This window comes from Homo sapiens, chromosome 1 (assembly GCF_000001405.40).
Source record: "Homo sapiens chromosome 1, GRCh38.p14 Primary Assembly".
In the NCBI taxonomy this organism is placed as follows: Eukaryota; Metazoa; Chordata; class Mammalia; order Primates; family Hominidae; genus Homo; species Homo sapiens.
In genome coordinates, this window is record NC_000001.11 from 237,536,159 (window position 1) to 237,556,489 (window position 20,331).

Genomic DNA, 20,331 nt, shown 5'->3' on the forward strand with positions numbered 1-20,331 from the left:
ATTTCTAACAATAATAGGACGCTTGACCATTTCCTTAACCTTGCTTTATTTCTTTTTAAGTGTGCTTCTGCACTTGATGTTATTTATGTTTCATGTCCTCTAATCTGAAATATGCACTTGCTAAAGGAAAAAAATCTGTGCATCAAAAGCATCTGTTAATCCCAGCACTTTGGGAGGCCGAGGCAGGCGGATCACAAGGTCAGGAGATTGAGACCATCCTGGCTAACACGGTGTAACCCCGTCTCTACTAAAAAATACAAAAAATTAGCCGGGTGGCCGGGCGTGGTGGCTCACGCCTGTAACCCCAGCACTTTGGGAGGCCGAGGCGGGCGGATCACGAGGTCAGGAGATCGAGACCATCCTGGCTAACATGGTGAAACCCCGTCTCTAATAAAAATACAAAAAAATTAGCCGGGCGTGGTGGCGGGCGCCTGTAGTCCCTGCTACTGGGGAGACTGAGGCAGGAGAATGGCGTGAATCCGGGAGGCGGAGGTTGCAGTGAGCCGCGATAGTGCCACTGCACTCCAGCCCGGACGACAGAGCGAGATTCCGTCTCAAAAAAAAAAAAAAAAAAAAAATTAGCCGGGCATGGTGGCAGGCGCCTGTAGTCCCAGCTACTAGGGAGGCTGAGGCAGGAGAATGGCGTGAACCCGGGAGGCGGAGCTTGCAGTGAGCCGAGATCGCGCCACTGCACTCCAGCCTGGGCGACAGAGCGAGACTCCATCTCAAAAAAAAAAGACTTGCAGAACAATATCAAGAACTCCTAAAAATTAATAAAAAGATGCCCAAATAGAAAAATGAGCAAAGGATATGAACATAATTCATAAAAAACCCCTGCAGATCCAATAAGCATATGAAAGACACTCAACTTCAGTACTAATCAAGGAAATGTAAATTAAAATCACAATGAAAAGCTATTTCACCCCCACCAAGTGAGAAAAAATGGAAGACTATGTAAATTAGTACAACCACTATGGAGATCAATTTAGCCTAATCTTATAAGACCCATTTCTTTTCCAGAAATAAACTTTAGAGATACTTTTGTACTCATGCAAAACAAACCTGAAAAGAATATTCATTGCAGCATAGATTGCAATAGCACTGAATTGGAAACAATTTAAATTTCCACCAAATTCCCATCAATCCCTATACAGTTGTTTTTTTGTTTGTTTTGTTTTGTTTTTAGATGGAGTCTTGCTCTGTCACCCAGGCTGGAGTGCAGTAGCACAATCTTGGCTCGCTGCAACCTCCGCCTCCCGGGTTCAAGCAATTCTCCTGCCTCAGCCTCCCTAGTACAGGCGCCCGCCACCACGCCCAGCTAATTTTTGTATTTTTTAGTAGAGACGGGATTTCACCATGTTGGTCAGGCTGGTCTTGAGCTCCTGACCTCAGGTGATCCGCCTGCCTTGGCCTCCCAAATTGCTGGGATTACAGGTGTGAGCCACCGTGCCCGGCCTAAATATAGTTTTTATAGATTCATCTAATGGCATACTATAGAGCAGTTAAAATGAATTAACTATAGCTAGATAGATTCAAAGGACAAATCTCAAAAATACTCCTTAGAGCCAAAAAACAAAAAAAGCATGTTACCAAAAAGATGATACAGTGTAATACTGTTTAAAGTTTAAGAACATAAAATATAATTCTACAGATAATTCATAGAGCCAGATATATGGAAGAACACTATAAAAATCATGTCTAGGAATAGTCAACTTCAAATTCAGAGTAATAATTCTCTCTGGGGATAAGGAGGGGATTGGAATTGAGGTGTAACAGAAGGAGAGCTTCAAGTGTATTCACTATTTTTGATACTTTTGCATAGGCCTGGAATTTTTCATAGTAATAACAAAGAGGTGATTGATAACAGAAACCAGGTTTTAATCTACTTAAAAAAAATGTTGGTGGAAAAGAGGAGATAGGAGGAATATAACTAGTCTTTAGGAAGTTCAGGCCAGGAGCAGTGGCTTACGCCTGTAATCCCAGCACTTTGGGAAGTCGAGGTGGGCAGATCATCAGAGGTCAGGAGTTCGAGACCAGCCTGGGCAACATGGTGAAACCCCGTCTCTACTAAAAATAAAAAAAAAAAATTAGCCAGGCATGGTGGTGAACACCTGTAATCCCAGCCACTCGGGAGGCTGAGGCAGGAGAATTGCTTGAACCCAGGAGGCGGAACTTTCAGTGAGCCGAGATCGTGCCACTGCACTCCAGCCTGGGTGACAGAGCAAGACTCTGTCTCAAAAAAAAAAAAAAAAAAAAAAAAAAAAAAAAAGGGAAGATGGTATTGATGGTATTCGTTTCAGAAGGAAATGGTGTTTAAAGAAGTTTTTTTTTGGCCAGGCCTGGTGGCTCACAGCTGTAATCCCAGCACTTTGGGAGGCCAACGCAGGCGGATCACTTGAGGTCAGGAGTTCCAGACCAGCCCGGCCAACATGGTGAAACCCTGTCTCTACTAAAAATACAAAAATTAGCTGGGCGTGGTGGCACAACCTGTAATCCCGGCTACTTGGTAGGCTGAGCCAGGAAAATTGCTTGAACCTGAGAGGCGGAGGTTGCTGTGAGCCAAGATCATACCACTGCACTCCAGCCTGGGTGACAGAGTGAGACTCCGTCACAATAAAAAAAATTAAAAAAAAATAAAAATTTGATAAAGCATAGGAGACACATGAGCATGTTTATGTAAATAGTGGGAAGAAACCAGGGGGACGAGTTTTAAAGGAGAGAGGTGGTGATTGAGAGCAAGGTTTCTTATTTCCATCCTTGTCCTGGTGTCTTGAATTCTACATTTCAAGGGACTTAGTACTGACTGGATTAGGGAGAACAAGACATAGGCATAACCTAGCGGATGACTTTAAAGGTCCATTCTTCTGAACATTCTGTATGGATGCACAGGCCATATAACCTAGATACAACCTAGATACACTGATAAAAGTCATAGATTAGAAATTGTCTTAGCTTTCCTTAAAATGTATTATTTAAGCAAAATATAATGTTCACAAGAAGATTAATTTTGGGTTAAAATCTTGATAAGAACCAGTATTGTTTTCTACCAGGTTTACCTCTGTCATTTCTGAGTTTGACTCTCACTTCCCCTTGCTGAAAGCATGTATTTCCTGAGTGCCAGGGTTTTATATGACACACATATGCATTTTAAGTTGCTTTTGTGTAACTATTAGAAATATGGTCGATTCCTACACGCAACCCTTGGGCTATGGTCTATGAAAGAGCAGTATCATAGCAGAATAACCTTTTCATAGCCCACAATATTTCTACTGCTGTCTCTTTTGCATATATTTTAGAGACATTTTGATAATCGGTCAAGTTCAATATATCAATTGGAATTAAATGCTATATTCCCTATTAAAAATAGCTAATTTTTGTACTGTGCAGCCAGTGGAGCCGGAAATCATTATCCTCAATAAACTAATGCAGGAACAGAAAACCAAACACTGCATGTTCTCACTTATAAGTGGGAGCTCAACAATGAGAACACATGGACACAGGGAGAGGGACAATACACACTGGAGCCTGTAGGGAGTGGGGCATGGGGAGGGAGAGCATTAGGAAAAAGAGTTAATGCATGCTGGGCTTCACACGTAGTTGATGGGTTGATAGGTGCAGCAAACCACCATGGCACACGTTTACCTATGTAACCTGCACATCCTGCACATTTACCCCAGAACTTAATAAAAATAAAATGTTTTTTTAAAATAGCCAATTTTTGTGTACATCTTGCACATGTACCCCAGAACTTAGAAATAATTTTTTTTAAATAGCCAATTTCTGATATATAATAGACATAATTTAATGGAAAATTCTTAAGAAATTTTGAAGAATGGATGATTCGTTGTAGTTTTTTTCTTTCCTCCTGTGCCTCTTTTTCTCCTTCCTCTCAAAACAAACAAGCAAACAGTGAAGAGCACAACACATTATCATCTATTCTTAATTTCACGCATCTTCCCTCATTTATTGCAGCTAAACTCTTGACACACTGCATAGTTTGATGAGCCTAGAGTTAAATTATTATAGCAATAAAGAAATACGCAACTGAAAAACAATCCACTCACTCCAAGAGCTTGTGGTCCTCACTATCTCATATGCCTAATTGAGTGTTTGAGATTGTTCGAAAAGCTGTAGATTTAAATGAAAATAAAATCCTGTCTGAATATTAATGGCATTCATTTAAACTTTCATTTAGCACTTATCTATTATGAAATCAACACAAAACACAGTAACTCAAAGGCTGCTTGAGTGTTTAAAAGCCTATTAGGGCTGAGCACGGTGGCTCATGCCTGTAATCCCAACAGTTGGGAGGCCGAGGCGGTCAGATCACCTGAGGTCAGGGGTTCGAGACCAGCCTGGCCAACATGGTGAAACTCTGTCTCTACTAAAAATACAAAAATTAGCCACGCATGGTGGCAGGTGCCTGTAATCCCAGCTACTTGGGAGGCTGAGGCGGGAGAATCACTTGAGCCTGGGAGGCAGAAGTTGCAGTGAGCTGAGATCGCATCATTGTAATCCAGCCTGGACAACAAAAGTGAAACTCCGTTTCAAAATATTAAAAAAAAAAAAAAAAGCATACTAGGATCATCTGAGAGGTTTCTAAAACTACTGCTAGGTTTTCTGCTCTTCCCAACACAGCCTTAGCCCTAATGCTGTGAAGCTACTACATGTGACAGGAAACAAGGTGATATCTCTGAGGCATAGTAGGGCAGATAAAAGGCTGAGAATGATATGGTTGATGCATGTGTGTGTGTATATATATATATATATATGTATGCACACACACACACACATTTAAAATGACTTTCTGAAATGAATGTATTAGATACTGAATGTGTACCCGTATGTATACTGTTTACATAGACACAAGCACATGTACAAAATTCACTTTGGTAAATATTTACCTCAGTGAAAAATGGTTTAGAAATACAGTTGGATTTTTCTGTAAAGATGAGGCACTGTAATTATGAAGAAAAGAAAAACCCTTAGATACTCTTTTTGTGTGTAGTGGGTAAATTTCACAGACCAGAAATTTAAAAATGCACCAATGTGCCGTGTTCTTCATTTTCTCTGATTGGGCCTAATTTAGGATTTAAATCCAATGAGCCTTGTAGCCAGAATGCAGCCTGACAGTGATAAATTAATTCTAGTTTGTTTAGGGCACTAATTCTAGTTTGCTTAGGGCAAACATAATTATATCAATATTTTCTGTGTCTAGTCTCACCTTTAAGTCTTGATTCCAATGTCATCTTCTCAAGTGGTCTCCCTCAACGTCTTTAAAATTGTGCTCTATTTAAAAACGTGCTTCCTCCTATCCCCCTTTCCTACTTTATTTTTCTTCATAGCATTTAAATCTTCTAACATACTATCATATTATACTTTATTTGGTTTCGTACTTGATTCCTCATTGGAACATTTTCATGCGCGTCCGTGTGAAGAGACCACCAAACAGGCTTTGTGTGAGCATTAAAGCTTTTAATCACCTGGGTGCAGGTGGGCTGAGTCCGAAAAGAGAGTCAGCGAAGGGAGATAAGGGTGGTGCCATTTTATAGGATTTGGGTAGATAAAGGAAAATTACAGTCAAAGGGGATTTGTTCTCTGGTGGGCAGGAGTGGGGGTCACAAGGTGTTCAGTGGGGGAGCTTTTTGAGCCAGGATGAGCCAGGAAAAGGACTTTCACAAGATAATGTCATCACTTAAGACAAGGACCGGCCATTTTCACTTCTTTTGTGGTGGAATGTCATCAGTTAAGGCGGGGCAGGGCATTTTCACTTCTTTTGTGATTCTTCAGTTACTTCAGGCCACCTGGGCATATAGGTGCATGTCACAGGGGATGCGATGGCTTGGCTTAGGCTCAGAGGCCTCACAAACATAATTTCTATAAAGGTATACATTTTTGTCTTTATTTATTTATTTATTTATTTATTTATTTATTTATTTATTTATTTATTTTGAGACAGAGTTTCACTCTTGTTGCCCAGGCTGGAGTGCGATGGCGCCATCTCGGCTCACCGCAAGCTCCGCCTCCCGGGTTCAAGCGATTCTCCTGCCTCAGCCTCCCAAGCAGCTGGGATTGGAGGCATGCATCACCACACCCAGCTAATTTTGTATTTTTAGTAGAGATGGGGTTTCTCCATGTTGGTCAGGCTGGTCTCAAACTCCCGACCTTAGGTGATCCGCCCGCCTCAGCCTCCCATGTATTATTAGTTCCTAGAATAGCACCTGAAAGCATTCTACTGCTGAATGAATATTTGACGGTGAAATTGAATACAAGATTTATGCCCCTCTTATTACCAGGGCTGCTTATGTTCTGGGTACTCACCTGATAGGGAGGTCTTGTTCAGTCGTTGGCCATTCTCATCTGACTTTGCTGTCTTCGACTGAATTGTCTTCATTCATCTCTGCTGGCATTTTACAGGATGTTTGTGTTCTGCACTGATTTGATATTGGGTTCACATTGGGTGCCCTCCTCCCCTCTGTGAGTCACTGTTCCTTCTCGTGCCTCATCCGGGCCTCTTTAGGAGTGCTGGAAAGCTAAGAATGCTCTCTCTGGCCGCTTGGAGATTGCAGCCTATTGGTGGAGGGAGAAGGAAGGGTTGCCACAGCCCCATCAGCCTGGAATTAGTTTGTCACCATATCTGTACTGTTCATGGGTTTGGATCTGTGAAATTATGAGACCCTGCCATTTGGCTGAGTACAATATAGGAAGCAAGATAGAAGCTCACTTTGGCTCTGCGATCTATCTGGTCCTCACTTGGGCAGAAGGCTGGGGAGAACTTGCCTCCTCTGACTCTCCCCTCCTGTAGGCTCTGGAATTTTCAGCCTATCTTAGACTGGAGGCCCTGGGTTCTTTATCTGTTCTTTTCTGTCCTAAGGCATAAGGGCTTTGTTCCTTTGGTATTCAAAAGCAGAGATTTTAATATCACAAGGCCCTGCTATAAAGATCTTTGTCTCTGCATTGAATATTCAAAGACATTTTAAAATCCAAAAGCCAAGTATAGCTTTTTTTTCCCTCTCTCTCTCTTGAAATGCCTCCTTCTTGAGAGCAGTGGATACTTCATGGTCTTGTTTCAAAGGGGCTGAGGGGTGTAGGAAGCCCTTCAAGTAAAAAGGAGTTTGGGGTCAGGGGAGTAGGGCACATCTTCATATTACATGTTTTTATTTAAAAACAAACAAAAGTAAAAAAGTAGAAGAAATATAACCCTTGTTTTCTCCCTTCTGGAAATTAATCCTTCTGTATTTGTTTTCTGGAGAATGATTCTGAATATTCTCTATATGTTTTCTGTGAAAATGTCAGCCTAGTATTCGTTTCTAGTAGATGTGCTTTCAGCAAAACTTGCTCTTAATGTCTCTGGTGTGCAGTCATCTGAGATTTCTCATTTGTTCCAAGGTACTTGAAGGGCTGATTTGGCTTTGAAATTTACAGCTAACACTCCCTGAACTTGGCTGTAGCCTTTACATATTTACTGTACATCTTTCACAATATAATGATTTCCAAGCTTCATTTAACTTGATCCATATTAAACAAGTAAGCTTGGGAGGTGGGGGTGGCTTAAAAAAAACAAAAGGTTGGTGCTTACTGTTTTTGGTATTCTGCCTTGTTTTTGTTAAATCACTTTAATTGGCCCTTTAATTACATTACACTGAGCCCTTGTTTCAAAGACTCATCTGGAATACCTGCTTAGGAAAAATGTGGGTCAGATGGGAATGAAGCACAAAACTGAGCTGCAACTTAACATGAAAATTCCCCAGTGGAGCCAAACACTGTCAATTTTTTGTTTATATCTTTGGTGACTTGATGCAAATAGAATCGACAGTTGGCCAGGATCTTTGTTGTTTTGTTTTGTTTTCAGAGGTATTTAAAAAAAATTTTGCTATCGGGAAAGCAAAGCCTAAACTGTTAGGTATTTGATTACTCTCAATGTTGTTGTTTTATTCTTTTTTATTTTATTTTATTAAATTATGTAGTTGCCAAAATAAAACTAAGAGCTAATAACTATAAAAGTATTTTGATACTTTGTAAAGTGAGCATATTAAATCATTTGTTTAATTTCATATATATTCCTCATAAGCTAATTTTATAGGATGATTGATGGCACAGAGAATGTGCATGTTAAAGAAAGGGGGTAAAAGCTACTTATACCTGTTCAGTAAATAAATTGGAGGAGAGAAAAGTCTGTCGGCTGATTCTGGCAGAAGTTTCTCATGATGTTTGAGAAAGTAGAATGTAATACAGAGACATCTTAATATGAGCTATATGTTTTTTGTATGAATATAATAATAATAGGAGTTTTTCCCATTTTGGTGGCTATAAAATTTTACTTTCCAAGAGTTATTTTAGTATTTTTTCTTTTATTTACTTTAACTTTTTGGAAATCAATCTGAAATTTTACTTGAAAGTGTTCAGTTTCTGGTTCATGTCAATTACATTTGATTCAAAGGCTTTGTTCATTTTTAACCACAAGAAGATAATCATTCATATTAGCAGTTGGTTGTCCTCTGTGTACCTAATTAAATTGTATTAATAAGGTGAAATGAACATTGTCAAACTGTACTTATTTACTTTTAAATATATCTCATTTTGATATAACAATTTGATTCTTAGCTCCTTTGTCAGAATGTACTACAAACAGAAAATTCGTTTCATAAATTATTGCTGTTACCATTAATTCATACTGGTGAAACATTCATGATGTCAATAGTGTTATCCATTATAATTAGTTAAAGTCCATGAATTTCATAGATGTTCATGTTTATTTTTACTGTACAAATGATTTGTTGTTCAAAATAGGTGGAAATAAAAAGGTTCAGGTGAAGTGAGAGTTTGTAACTATAATTTGGATGGGATTATTAGCCATTTAAAAAAACAATTCTAAGCTTCAAATCCTTTCTCGTACAAGGTTATAGAGGAAAGAAGGTTAAAAAAGTGTAGTTTACATCTGAAGATGAATGTGAACAAATTATTGGGCTACTTAAACAGATGCAAATGCATCTCCATAAGTTTTCATTGAGATCACAGATTAAAGCAATTCTAGAAGAAATCTGTATGGGAAGAAAACAATGTAGAAAATAAAGAGGAATGATTTTGTCAATATTATCCAGCTTCGCACATTAGCATAACTTGTCTATAAGTTTTTATTGGGAAAGACCTCCTTCCCACCTTCCACCTTTCAAAAGTACTTCCTCATTCCATGAGATATTGCTAGAAAGTCTACCATTAAAAATTGGTTTCCAGAAAGTATCACTCCTCTTTGGGAATGCATGTATCCCTCATTAGGGTAGCAATGGCTCCGATCAGTGATTCACAGGTGGATATCGAAACTTCATCATCTGTGTGGCCTCTGTGGCTGCTAGATGGGATCAAGGCTGCTGAAAAGTGAAAGAAGATTGTGTGCTGGCTTGTGCTGGGTGACCATGGGCCAGTTGTGGGGAGTGAGAAGTAGTTGTGAGGAAGCAAGGAAGTACAGAAGACTGGGCTCTTCATCATGTACCCTGAGGCTGCCTCCAGCAAACTGTTAAACTTGGAAATTAGACTATGCTAGCTTGATTACCTGTTGGTGCATTTGAAATGCAGTGGGAGCTTTTTCTTGAAAAATAAAAAAAAAAAAAAATACTTTCCAGGCCAGGAGTGGTGGCTCATGCCTGTAATCCCAGCAATTTGGGAGGCTGAGGCAGGAGGACTGCTTGAGGCCAGGGGTTGAAGAGCGGCCTGGGCAACAAAGTGAGACCTTGCCTCAAAAAAGAACAAAAATAAAACCCAAAACCATAAATATATAATATGTAAAATATATATATTAATGTTTTGGGTTTTTTTTAATTTAAATACATAAATATATCTATATCTATATATTCTAAAATAAAAGAAAATACTTTTCAAATAAGAACTTATATCTTCAGCTGTGATTACAGTTTATAGATTTGCCTATTTAAATGTCAGAAGTCTGTCGAATACAATGATTTATAGAAGTTGTTAAAAAAAATTCCCACATGGCTTCTTTATTAAAAAACAAAAGCTACAGTTAATTGCCCATACAAACAGAGTTTTTATTTAAAATGGAACAAAATTTAATGTCCATAAATTTAACTTATGAATGTAAATTGAATGACATAGATCAGTAATTTGTCCTAATTGTTATAATCTACTCAAAACAAAACATTGGTAAAGCTTTTGTCTACAGAAAAATTACTTTTTTGTGTCTATAGATAAATTACTTTTTTGTTGTTGTTGTTGTTTTTTTGAGACAGAGTCTCGCCGTGTCACCCAGGCCAGAGTGCAGTGGCACAATCTCGGCTCACTGCAACCTCTGCCTCCCAGATTCAAGCGATTCTCATGCCTCAGCCTCCGAAGTAGCTGTGATTACAGTTGGGTGCCACCATGCCCAGCTAATTGTTTTGTATTTTTTAGTAGAGATGGGGTTTTGCCATATCAGCCAGGCTTGTCTTGAACTCCTGACCTCAAGCGATCCACCTGCCTCGGCCTCCCAAAGTGCTGGGATTATAGAAGTGAGCTACCAAGCCCAGCCTATACATAAATTACTTACAATATATGGGATGTATTATAGTAAAATAGAAGTAACTAAGCTAAAGCCATCTGTATTCAACCTTAAAAAAGTTATTTATTGCTGTAATATATTGATTCATTCAACAAATTTTTACTGAATGCCTACCATGTATTGGTCACTATTCTAGGTGCTGGGGGGTCACTGTGAATAAAATGGACAAACTCCCTGCTTTCAAGGAGCTTGCCTTGTAATGATGCCAGTCATAGCCCAGATTAGTAGTCTATTTTTAAGAGAATTTGTAGTTTATTTTCAAAAGCATATATATATATATATATATTTATTTATTTATTTATTTATTTATTTAGAGATGGAGTCTTGCTCTGTCACCCAGGCTGGAGAGCAGTGGCGTGATCTCTCCTCACTGCAATCTCTGCCTCTTGGGTTTAAGCGATTCTCCTGCCTCAGTCTCTCGAATAGCTGGGATTACAGGCACCCGCCACCACACCTTGCTAATCATTGTATTTTTAATAGAGACTGGGTTTCACCATGTTGGCCAGGCTGGTCTCGAACTCCTGGCCTCATGTGATCCACCCACGTTGGCCTCCCAAAGTGCTGGGATTACAGGTGTGAGCCACTGTGCCCGGCCTTTTCTCACATTTATTTTTAAAAGCATTTTCTCATGTTTTAATAATTAATTTTGTAACTTAGCATAATTACCTAGTGAACGTTCTTGAGTTGAAGATGCATTTATGTTTATATTAATTTGGTAAATGAAATTAATTATTTCAACAACTGTATATGAAAAGGCTGTTATCTGCTGGGAACTGTTTTAAGGATAATGGCAGTTAGAAAAATGAATCAGAAACAGATCCTGACCTCAAGGTATAGTCAATAATGGAGAATACAACAGTGACAGAAGAATGGAAGAAAAGCAGTTATAAAATAGGCTTTGTGCCAATCTCAGTAGTTAAATAGAATGAAGCGCTGTGTGTCTGTGTGGAGCAGGGCAGTACTATTGCCCTTATATGTGTGCATTGAAAAGTTAATATTTTCAACTTTGTATTTCTTCCAACGATTACAACTTATACCTGTTTTATTACGATAATACCTTCTCTCTCCAGCCTAGAATGTAGAAGCAGTCTCTGCTAAGAGATCCTTGAACTCTAGGGAAATAAAATGCAATCAGATTTTAGATGGTTATATAGCTGTGATTTTCTTTACTTTCTAGTCTCTATCTTATTTAGTCTTCCTAAATAACGTAACTAGGAATGACAGTAAGGAAATAAGTTACAAATGCATTTAAATTTCCCTGTGGAATAAGAAATAGGTAGTATCTGAAGGATACACTGATTTATGAAATAAATATTACATTAATCTAACATTTAACAATTGAAGAAAAATGACTTCACAGGAAGAGAAATCTCTAAAATATTTCAATAAATAACCAATATTTTGATTTAGACTATACAAAAGCCTCAGCTATTAGGAACACAAACAATGACAGGTCCTTTTCATCTCTGAGAGACAGGTAAGTTGTCTCATTTCTGTCTTATTGGTGTAAAAACAAAAACACAAAGATTATGTGGCTTTTCATTCTGATCAGTTATTAGCTAAAGTGAAAGGAACCTAGGCTTGCTGTCTGGTACTTCACCACTGGTTACCACTGTGGTTTATGGAAGAACAGTAATGAGGTAGGGCCAGAAAATGATATTTACAGAGATTTTTATGAAAAGGCCAATTATACACAAATTTCTTTGTCTCTGATTTGTAGTTACCAGCTGACAAGTGGATACAAGCCTGCCCCTATGGACCTGAGCTTTATCAAACTCACCCCATCACAAGAAGCAATGGTGGACAAGTTGGCAGAAAATGCACATAATGTGTGGGCGCGGGATCGAATCCGGCAGGGCTGGACTTATGGCATCCAACAGGTACATGGGAATTAGCATTTGGTCTGAGACTTACTTAAGTGGGAATTAGCATAATTTGTAACAGGAAGGATTACATAATGACTATTTTAAAACTTGTATCATATAGATCACATATAGTGCACATTTGGACTAAAACAGCTGTTTAATGCTAGACTCAAGAATTTACATGACCTTAGTTCTGGCTGTGATCGTGAACACATGTGAGGCACACAATGAATAATACTACACTGGTGACTTATAATATGGTTTTGTGGTATTTCTCTCTCTGAGACTGTATTTTAGGAGAAACTTTTGAAATGTAAGAAGACTGGGATAAAGTGATAATAAAATGGGTTCACCATCCCTTATTCACAACCCCTGGGGCCACATAAATTTCAGAATTCAGTCTTTTTATTTGGTTTTCAGAATGGTGATTTGAGGATATATTACATGTATATACATAACAACCTTGGTAGGGCAAGTGACTTCAAATTGCAATTCATTCCGCACAAGGGAGGCATGGTCATACCAAAGAGGGGTAAAGGCCATAAACAGCCTCGCATCAGTTCAGGTTTCACCACTGAGTTACTGTTGCAGATCATTTTGCTCTAGGCATCAGTAGATATTCAGGTATTTGGGTATTAAGGTATTCAGGATTAGGTATTCAGTACAAATTTGCCTGAAAGAGGGAAGGAAGAAAAGACAAGACAAAACAGTATTTCTGGCTGGGCGGGGTGGCTCACACTTGTAATCCCAGCACTTTGGGAGGCTAAGGTGGGAGGACTGCTTGAGCCTGGGAGTTTGAGACCAGCCTGGGCAACATAGTGAGAGACCGTCTCTACAAAAAATTAAAAAATTAGCTGGGCATGGGGCACATGCCTGTAGTCCCAGCTACTCAGGGGGCTGAGGTGGGAGGATCACTTGAGCCCAGGAGGTTGAGGCTGCAGTGAGACTCTGTTTCAAAACAACAACAAAAACAACAAAACAACAACAACACAGTATTTACAGTATTTATTCTCTGGTTTACCAGAACAACCCCTGTGTGATTCCATAGCTTTCTTTTTTTTTTTTTTTTTTTTTTTTTTTTAACTCTTGGGAGATGTGGTGGGAACATCCACAGCCTCCCAATTCCTGCTTATCTTAAAGTATTGAGAATTGATTATGCTTCTTGAAATGTGGAGACTTGAGCAAATACTGCAGCAGGTCTCAGGAAGTGAATGGAAAGAAGTAATTTCCAAAGTGGCATTGCCCTACACACTTGTAGGAGTAGATGCATCTCCCCGATCCCATGGAATTCAGTTCTGTACTCTAATATTAAGCATCCTTTTGCCAAGATAGTAAGATAGCCTGTTCACTCTCTCTGTGTCAACACATTTTAACCACAGTTTAACATTGGAGCCTCTCGTACAATAGACAAGTTATGGGTTTCATAGTCATTTTAGTGCCCCTGGCATTGCCGGGTTTCACTGGTTGGTGGATTCAACCCAATGCATATTTTTCAGTTAGGGACATAGAAGGGTGGTCCATAACACGCTGGAATTTTTTGAAGAAGGGAAAGCAGCCTTAAGTTCTTCATTGCCTGAAAACCACTGAGGGAGAACCAGCACTAATTTGGCTGTTCTTGGAATAAAACCCTGTCCATGAACTGTACTCAGAAGTTATATGTTCTCTAAGTTTGTCCTTTGCCATGTGAACGTGGCAGATGGAAGTGGTTAGAGATCACTGAAGTTGTTTTTTGTTATTGTTGTTTTTCCTTCTCATGGAGAGGGTCTGCTTTCCATAGATGCGCTTATTCATTTGATTGAATCCTGTATATTGATAGTGTTTTGGTAACTTTGCAGCCTGGGAAGACGCATGGATTGTGGAAGGGTCACGTTTTTCTCATGGAATTTAAAGTTTGATGTATTTGGTAGCTACTTATTTCTAAAAGCCCTTGGTATTGCTTTGACGGCTGCACCCTGTGTTTTCCTGCAGGACGTAAAGAACAGAAGAAATCCTCGCCTTGTTCCCTACACTCTTCTGGATGACCGAACCAAGAAATCCAACAAGGACAGCCTCCGCGAGGCTGTGCGCACGCTGCTGGGGTACGGCTACAACTTGGAAGCACCAGATCAAGATCATGGTATTTTGGTTTTACTTTCCTCTTCTTCGGTTGCAAGATGATGTAGTAGTTCTTTAAAGCCAAATAAATGAATAAAAGGGGGAGTACTGGATAGAGTCCTCTAGTCTAGGTGTGGAATTTCAGCCAAGTGGATTTTCTTCCCTGAAAAACACCTGAGGGATTAGACCCATCTCTCAGTGGGATGGCTCAGGATGCTGATGATTCTTTGGGCGGAGAAAATGGGCCTGTCTTCCTCAAGCCTCTGAGATCAGTAGGTACCTCCCTGATTATGATATTGGGCTCCTCCCCTAGCCCACCAGCCCTCCTCCAGAACAGCTGATTTTTGCTGATTTGGGGAATAAGCTTGTAGTGGAGGCTAGTGTTTTACAAAATCCCACCTTCATCATTTACACACACGTACAGGCAACATTGAATTAATTAATGTGATATTCTGCTTTAAGGGAAACACATTACAATAGATACTCAATAACTAACTATGTGTTGAACACAATGGATTTTTAAAGGTTCTGCAAAGAATACATTTTCCTTAAATAATACCTTTGAAGAATGTAGTTTAGGCCGGGCATGGTGGCTCACGCCTGTAATCCCAGCAGTTTGGGAGGCTGAGGCAGGCGGATCACAAGGTCAGGAGATTGAGACCATCCTGGCTAACACAGTGAAACCCCATTTCTACTAAAAAATACAAAAAAATTAGCTGGGCATGGTGGCGGACACCTGTAGTCCCAGCTACTCGGGAGGCTGAGGCAGGAGAATGGTGTGAACCCGGGAGGCAGAGCTTGCAGTGAGCCGAGATGGCGCCACTGCACTCCAGCCTGGGTGACAGAGCAAGACTCCGTCTCAAAAAAAAAAAAAAAAAAAGAATGTAGTTTAGAATGATCCACTCTTTAATCCGTTGCTCCTGCAGTCTGAGTTAGTTTAATACCCATTTTCAAAAAATTGGCAAAAAACAAATTACGGTTGTGTGCTTCGTCACAGGGCCTATAATTTTTGATGGAAAGTTTTAAAAATGTATTCCAAATGTATTCTAGTGGCTCATATTTTCAGTGCATTACCTGTACATAAAAGTGGATCTTAAATAATAATGATAGTTTATATATTCACTGTGTAAGTGTTTCTAAGACTTTTACAATTATTATTTAATCCTCACAGTAACTCTTATGAGGATGATGCTTGTATTACGCTCATTTTACAGATAAGGAAACTGAGATTCAGGGACTTCTGTGTCTTCCCATTTAAAGTGGCAGGTGTAGGATCCTAATCATAGGCATCCTGACATATTTTAGTCCTTTGAATTGAGTAAAGACATACTTGGCATCTTGACAGATCTTATCAGTTACTGGATTCTTATATTTGCTGCAAATTAAATGACGTATCTACTTGTTAACAGTAATATCCATAATGCTAACATAATATCTATCTTGAGGTTAGCTTTCTAACAACAGAGATGTGGTACACGCATTATGAATCAGTTGCTGTTAGGTGTGCAGATACCAAGAAGATTCCTGTCTCAAAGAGTGTACAGTCCCTGTAACCACTGGGAAGAAAGTAAACAATAAAAGGCTTGTAAGCCAAAAAATGGCAATCAAAGAGACTTCTGTAATTCTCTGATATAGAATAAACCCTCAAAGCTAATTAGTTCTATATAATTATGTTTTTAAATTGAAATAGAAATTGTTTTAAAAACAATTTAAAAAATAGTTTTTAAATTGAATAGAAATTTGTATACAATAAAATGTACACATCTGAAGTGTTCAGTCTGGTAAATTTTGACAGTTGTAGAAACAAAAGGAACCACTACCGAAAACACCTCCAATATTTTCTTCATTCCAGAAAGTTTGTGTTCCCAACAAAGTAACCACTTTGTAAGTTCTATCATTACAGATTAATTTATAGCAAATAGACATATAAATGTAACCTATAAATGTAGATTTTATAATCATTATCACGTGTATTTTTTATATGTAGTTTCTTTTGTTCATCATGATGCTTTTATGATCTTGCATGTTTTATGTATATCACAAAATCTATTGCTCAGTGGCATTCCTTAAATAATAATAGTAATAATTTACTGTTTGTTTATCCATTCTCCTATAGATGGATGATGTGGGTTGTTTCCAATTTTAGGTGATTATGAATAAGGCTGCTATGAATATTCATATACAAATCTTGGTATATAATTAATATAATTAATCTTTCATTTCTCTTAGACTAAATATTTAGGAGTATAATTACCGAGGCATATTTTCTAATTTTTGTTGGCCTTTTTACTGAATTGTGTTTCTAAAAGTATATTTTGGATAGAAGAACCATGTCAGGTATGGAAGGATTTTCTTCCGTTTGTAAGTTGCTTTTTCACTTTCTTAATGAGGTCTTTCAAAGAGCAGACATTCTTAATTTGAAGTCCATTTATGATTTTTTTCCTTTATAGTTGTGGGTTCCTAGGACATCTTTGCCTATGCAAAAACAAAAATATTGTCTCTTATGTTTCCTTCCAGAGTTTTATTATTCTAGCTTTTACTTGTAGGTGTGTGATCTAAAGTGAGTTAGCTTTTGTGTATGATGTAAGCTTAAGATCAAGGTTCATTTGTTGCACAGATGAATATCCAACTGTCCCAGCACCATTTGTTGGAACAATTATCCTTACCAAATTAAATTACCTTGGCGTCTTAGTCAAAACCTATTGAACACATAAGTCAGTCTATTTCTGGACTGTATATTCTGTTCCATTGATCTTTATGTCTGTCCTTAAGTTAATATTCCATTGTCTTCATTTTTATCACATAGTAAATTTAAAATCAGGTAGGGCAAGTCTTCCAACTTCTTTCATATTTTATAAAGGTTTTTTGTTCTTCTTTTGCATTTCCATATACATTTAGATTCAACTTGTTAATTTGATTTGGATGGGATTACAGTTGAATTCATAGGTCAGTTTGGGAAGAATTGATATTTTAGCCATATTTAGTCGACCAATTCATGAACATGGTACATTTGTCCATTTATTTTCATCCTCTTTAGTTTCTCTTAGCATTGCTTTGCAGTTTTCAGACTAGAGGTCTTATACATTATTTGATTTATCTATATTTTTGATACTATTAAATGAAATTAGTTTAAAGTTCATTTCATTTTCCAACTGTACACGAATATGAGATATATAATTGATATTTACATATTGATCTTATATCCTGTGATTTGGCTAAATTTATATGTCAGTTCTATTTTTTTGTAAATTCAGTGGGATTGTCTATATACATAATCATGAGGTCTGCAAAAACTAAACCTCACTTTTTCTTTTACAATTGGTATAGCTTTTTTGCTTCTTGATTTATTGAACTGGTAAAGAATTCAGAACACTATTGAATAGAAATGGTAAGAGAGTTTATTCTGCCTTATAGGGGGAAAGTTGTGATGTTTCACCATTAAGTATGATGTTAAGTATAGCTTTTTATAGCTGTCCTTTATCACATTGAAGAGATTCCCTTCTGTTCTTAGTTTGTGGGTGATTTTATCATAAATAGGGTCATGAATTTTGTCCAGTGCTTTTTTCCCCATTTATTGAACAGATTATGTATTTTTCTCCTGTATTCTGTGGATATCATGACTATCAAGTGATTTTCAAATGTTAAACCAACTTTCTAGTTCTAGGATAACTCTCTTCAGTCATGATGCATTGTCCTTTTTTACACAGAGCTGTATTCTATTTGTTAATATTTTGCTTAGGACTTTTGTAGCTAAGTTTATGGGCAATACACTGGTATATATTTTTTTCTTATAATGTCTTTGTTAGATTTTGATATCAATGTAAATCTAGCTTCCTAAGTAGGAAATTTTCTCTTCTGTTTTCTGAAAGAATTTGTGTTAATTCTACATTGTTTCTTTTTCAAATATTTGATAGAATTTATCATTGAAACCACGAGCCTAGAGTTTTATACTATAGGAAAGGTATTTTGTTATGAATTCAATGTATTTGATAGCTTGAGAGCTATTTAGATTTTCTATTTATTTGTGTGTCAACTTTGATAAATTATGTTTTTCTGTAAATTAGTTCATTTAATTTAGGTTGCCATATATAGGCATAAAATTGCACTAATGTGCTCTTATTATTCTTTTAATGTCTGTAGGATCTTTAATGATATCTCTCTTTTCATTCCTGGTAATGATAGTTGATGTTTTCTCTCTTTTTATCTTGATCACTTCTCTAAGGGATTAATTGATTTTATAAATCTTTTCAAAGGTTAATTGAACTTAAATGTACTTTTGTTTTGGTTAAACTTTCAGACATTTATTTATTTCTCCATATCACCAATCGTGGATTATTATGAGTGATCTGCTGTGGTTATGTGTGACTATGTCTTACATTACCTTAGGAAAGCATGGCATTATTGAGTAGGACTATGGCATCCTATGGAGAACGTTAATGTTCAATCACAGTATCAAGAGATCCTGGTTTCACAGCTTTGAAATGACCTATTAAATGTACTTTCTAATCAACAAATGTATATATCAGGCATACAAATATTCACTAACATTGCCTTATGATAATATAGTATTTCCAATAGTGTTTTTGCATATTTTCAAATATTTGATTCAACTACTCTCTTTAGGCAAAAGAAGGGTGTAATAATCAAAGAGTTCTTGAGCTTCCCTCTAACTTTATAATTCTTTAACATTTGTGCATCCCTAGAGGATGTAGGTAGCAGTGATGACAGTCAATATATTTTTAGGTTGGAAAGATACTTATATAATGATAAAGATAAAATTTTGGGGAAAAAACTCACACCTGGTTTTATAGTCTGACACATCAACCATTTGATTTCCCCAGGTTTTCATTACTTTACACATGAATATTTATATTTTGGTATCTATAGTCTTAATAGAGATATAATTACCTGTTTTCCTTCCGCTCCCCCACTCTGCTTAATATCAAACATTTTGAAAGTTACTTACTCTACATTTAGAAGGAACTCTGACAACATTGCTTTCCTGATACTCACTGAAAATTGCAAAGAGAGAATGCCTAAGTCTGGTTGACTCAATTTTAAACTTATAGATAATAACTTAATAATAAATGTCTAAAGTTATAGATAATAACTAAAAATAAGGGAAAACACTACAGCTCAGAGAATTTATAACCTTGAGTCTTCAAGGAAAGAGTTAATTATGGTCAGTATCCAGGAAAAGGAGTACAGTTTCCCCTGCACATAGAAATATGCATTGCAATGCCAGACAGAAAAAAATCAATGATGGTTATATTTTAAAGATATTGTCACTTAAGGGCATAAACTATATTCAGTGACACATGATACATTTGCTTTTAGAGATAACTTTACTCCAGAATGGTGCCAGATAAGTAAAATGTTAAGAAGTTATTCTGATGACATACAGTGTTTTATACTATTTGTAGCTAATACGTATTAATAATTTCATCTTCGTAACACCGTTGTGGACAACATATTGCTACCTTATGGGTACCTACTTTCTTCTGAATTATGTGAATTTTAAGAAGAAAGAAAAGGAGCTTATATTTATAAAACATATGCTCCACTTCATTTTACTTCCATATTTGCAATTCTCATTTCCATTTTTTAAAATATTATTATTATTATTATTATTATTATTATTATTAGTTGAGATAGAATCTCGCTCTGTCCCCCAGGCTGGAGTGCAGTGGTGCAATCTCAGTTCACTGCAACCTCTGCCTCCCTGGTTCAGGTGATTTTCCCTGCCTCAGCCTCCCGAGTAGCTGGGACTACATGCGCCTGCCACGAGGCCCGGCTAATTTTTTTTTTTTTTTGTATTTT

At 37.4% G+C, this 20,331-nt stretch overlaps 1 protein-coding gene across 18 annotated transcripts in view; it reads left to right on the forward strand.

Annotated features, from left to right (window-relative positions):
- RYR2 (ryanodine receptor 2) overlaps nt 1-20,331 on the forward strand; it is a 791,805-nt gene that overhangs the window by 493,975 nt on the left and 277,499 nt on the right. For all 18 annotated transcript variants that reach the window (XR_007062490.1, XR_002957299.2, XM_006711802.4 and 15 more), the window contains 2 exons: nt 12,273-12,432; nt 14,386-14,533. Coding sequence is in view for 16 of the 18 variants with exons in the window: in XM_006711802.4 (XP_006711865.1) it covers nt 12,273-12,432; nt 14,386-14,533 (308 nt within the window). In the remaining 2 variants the exon portion in view is untranslated. The remainder of the gene's footprint in view (nt 1-12,272; nt 12,433-14,385; nt 14,534-20,331) is intronic.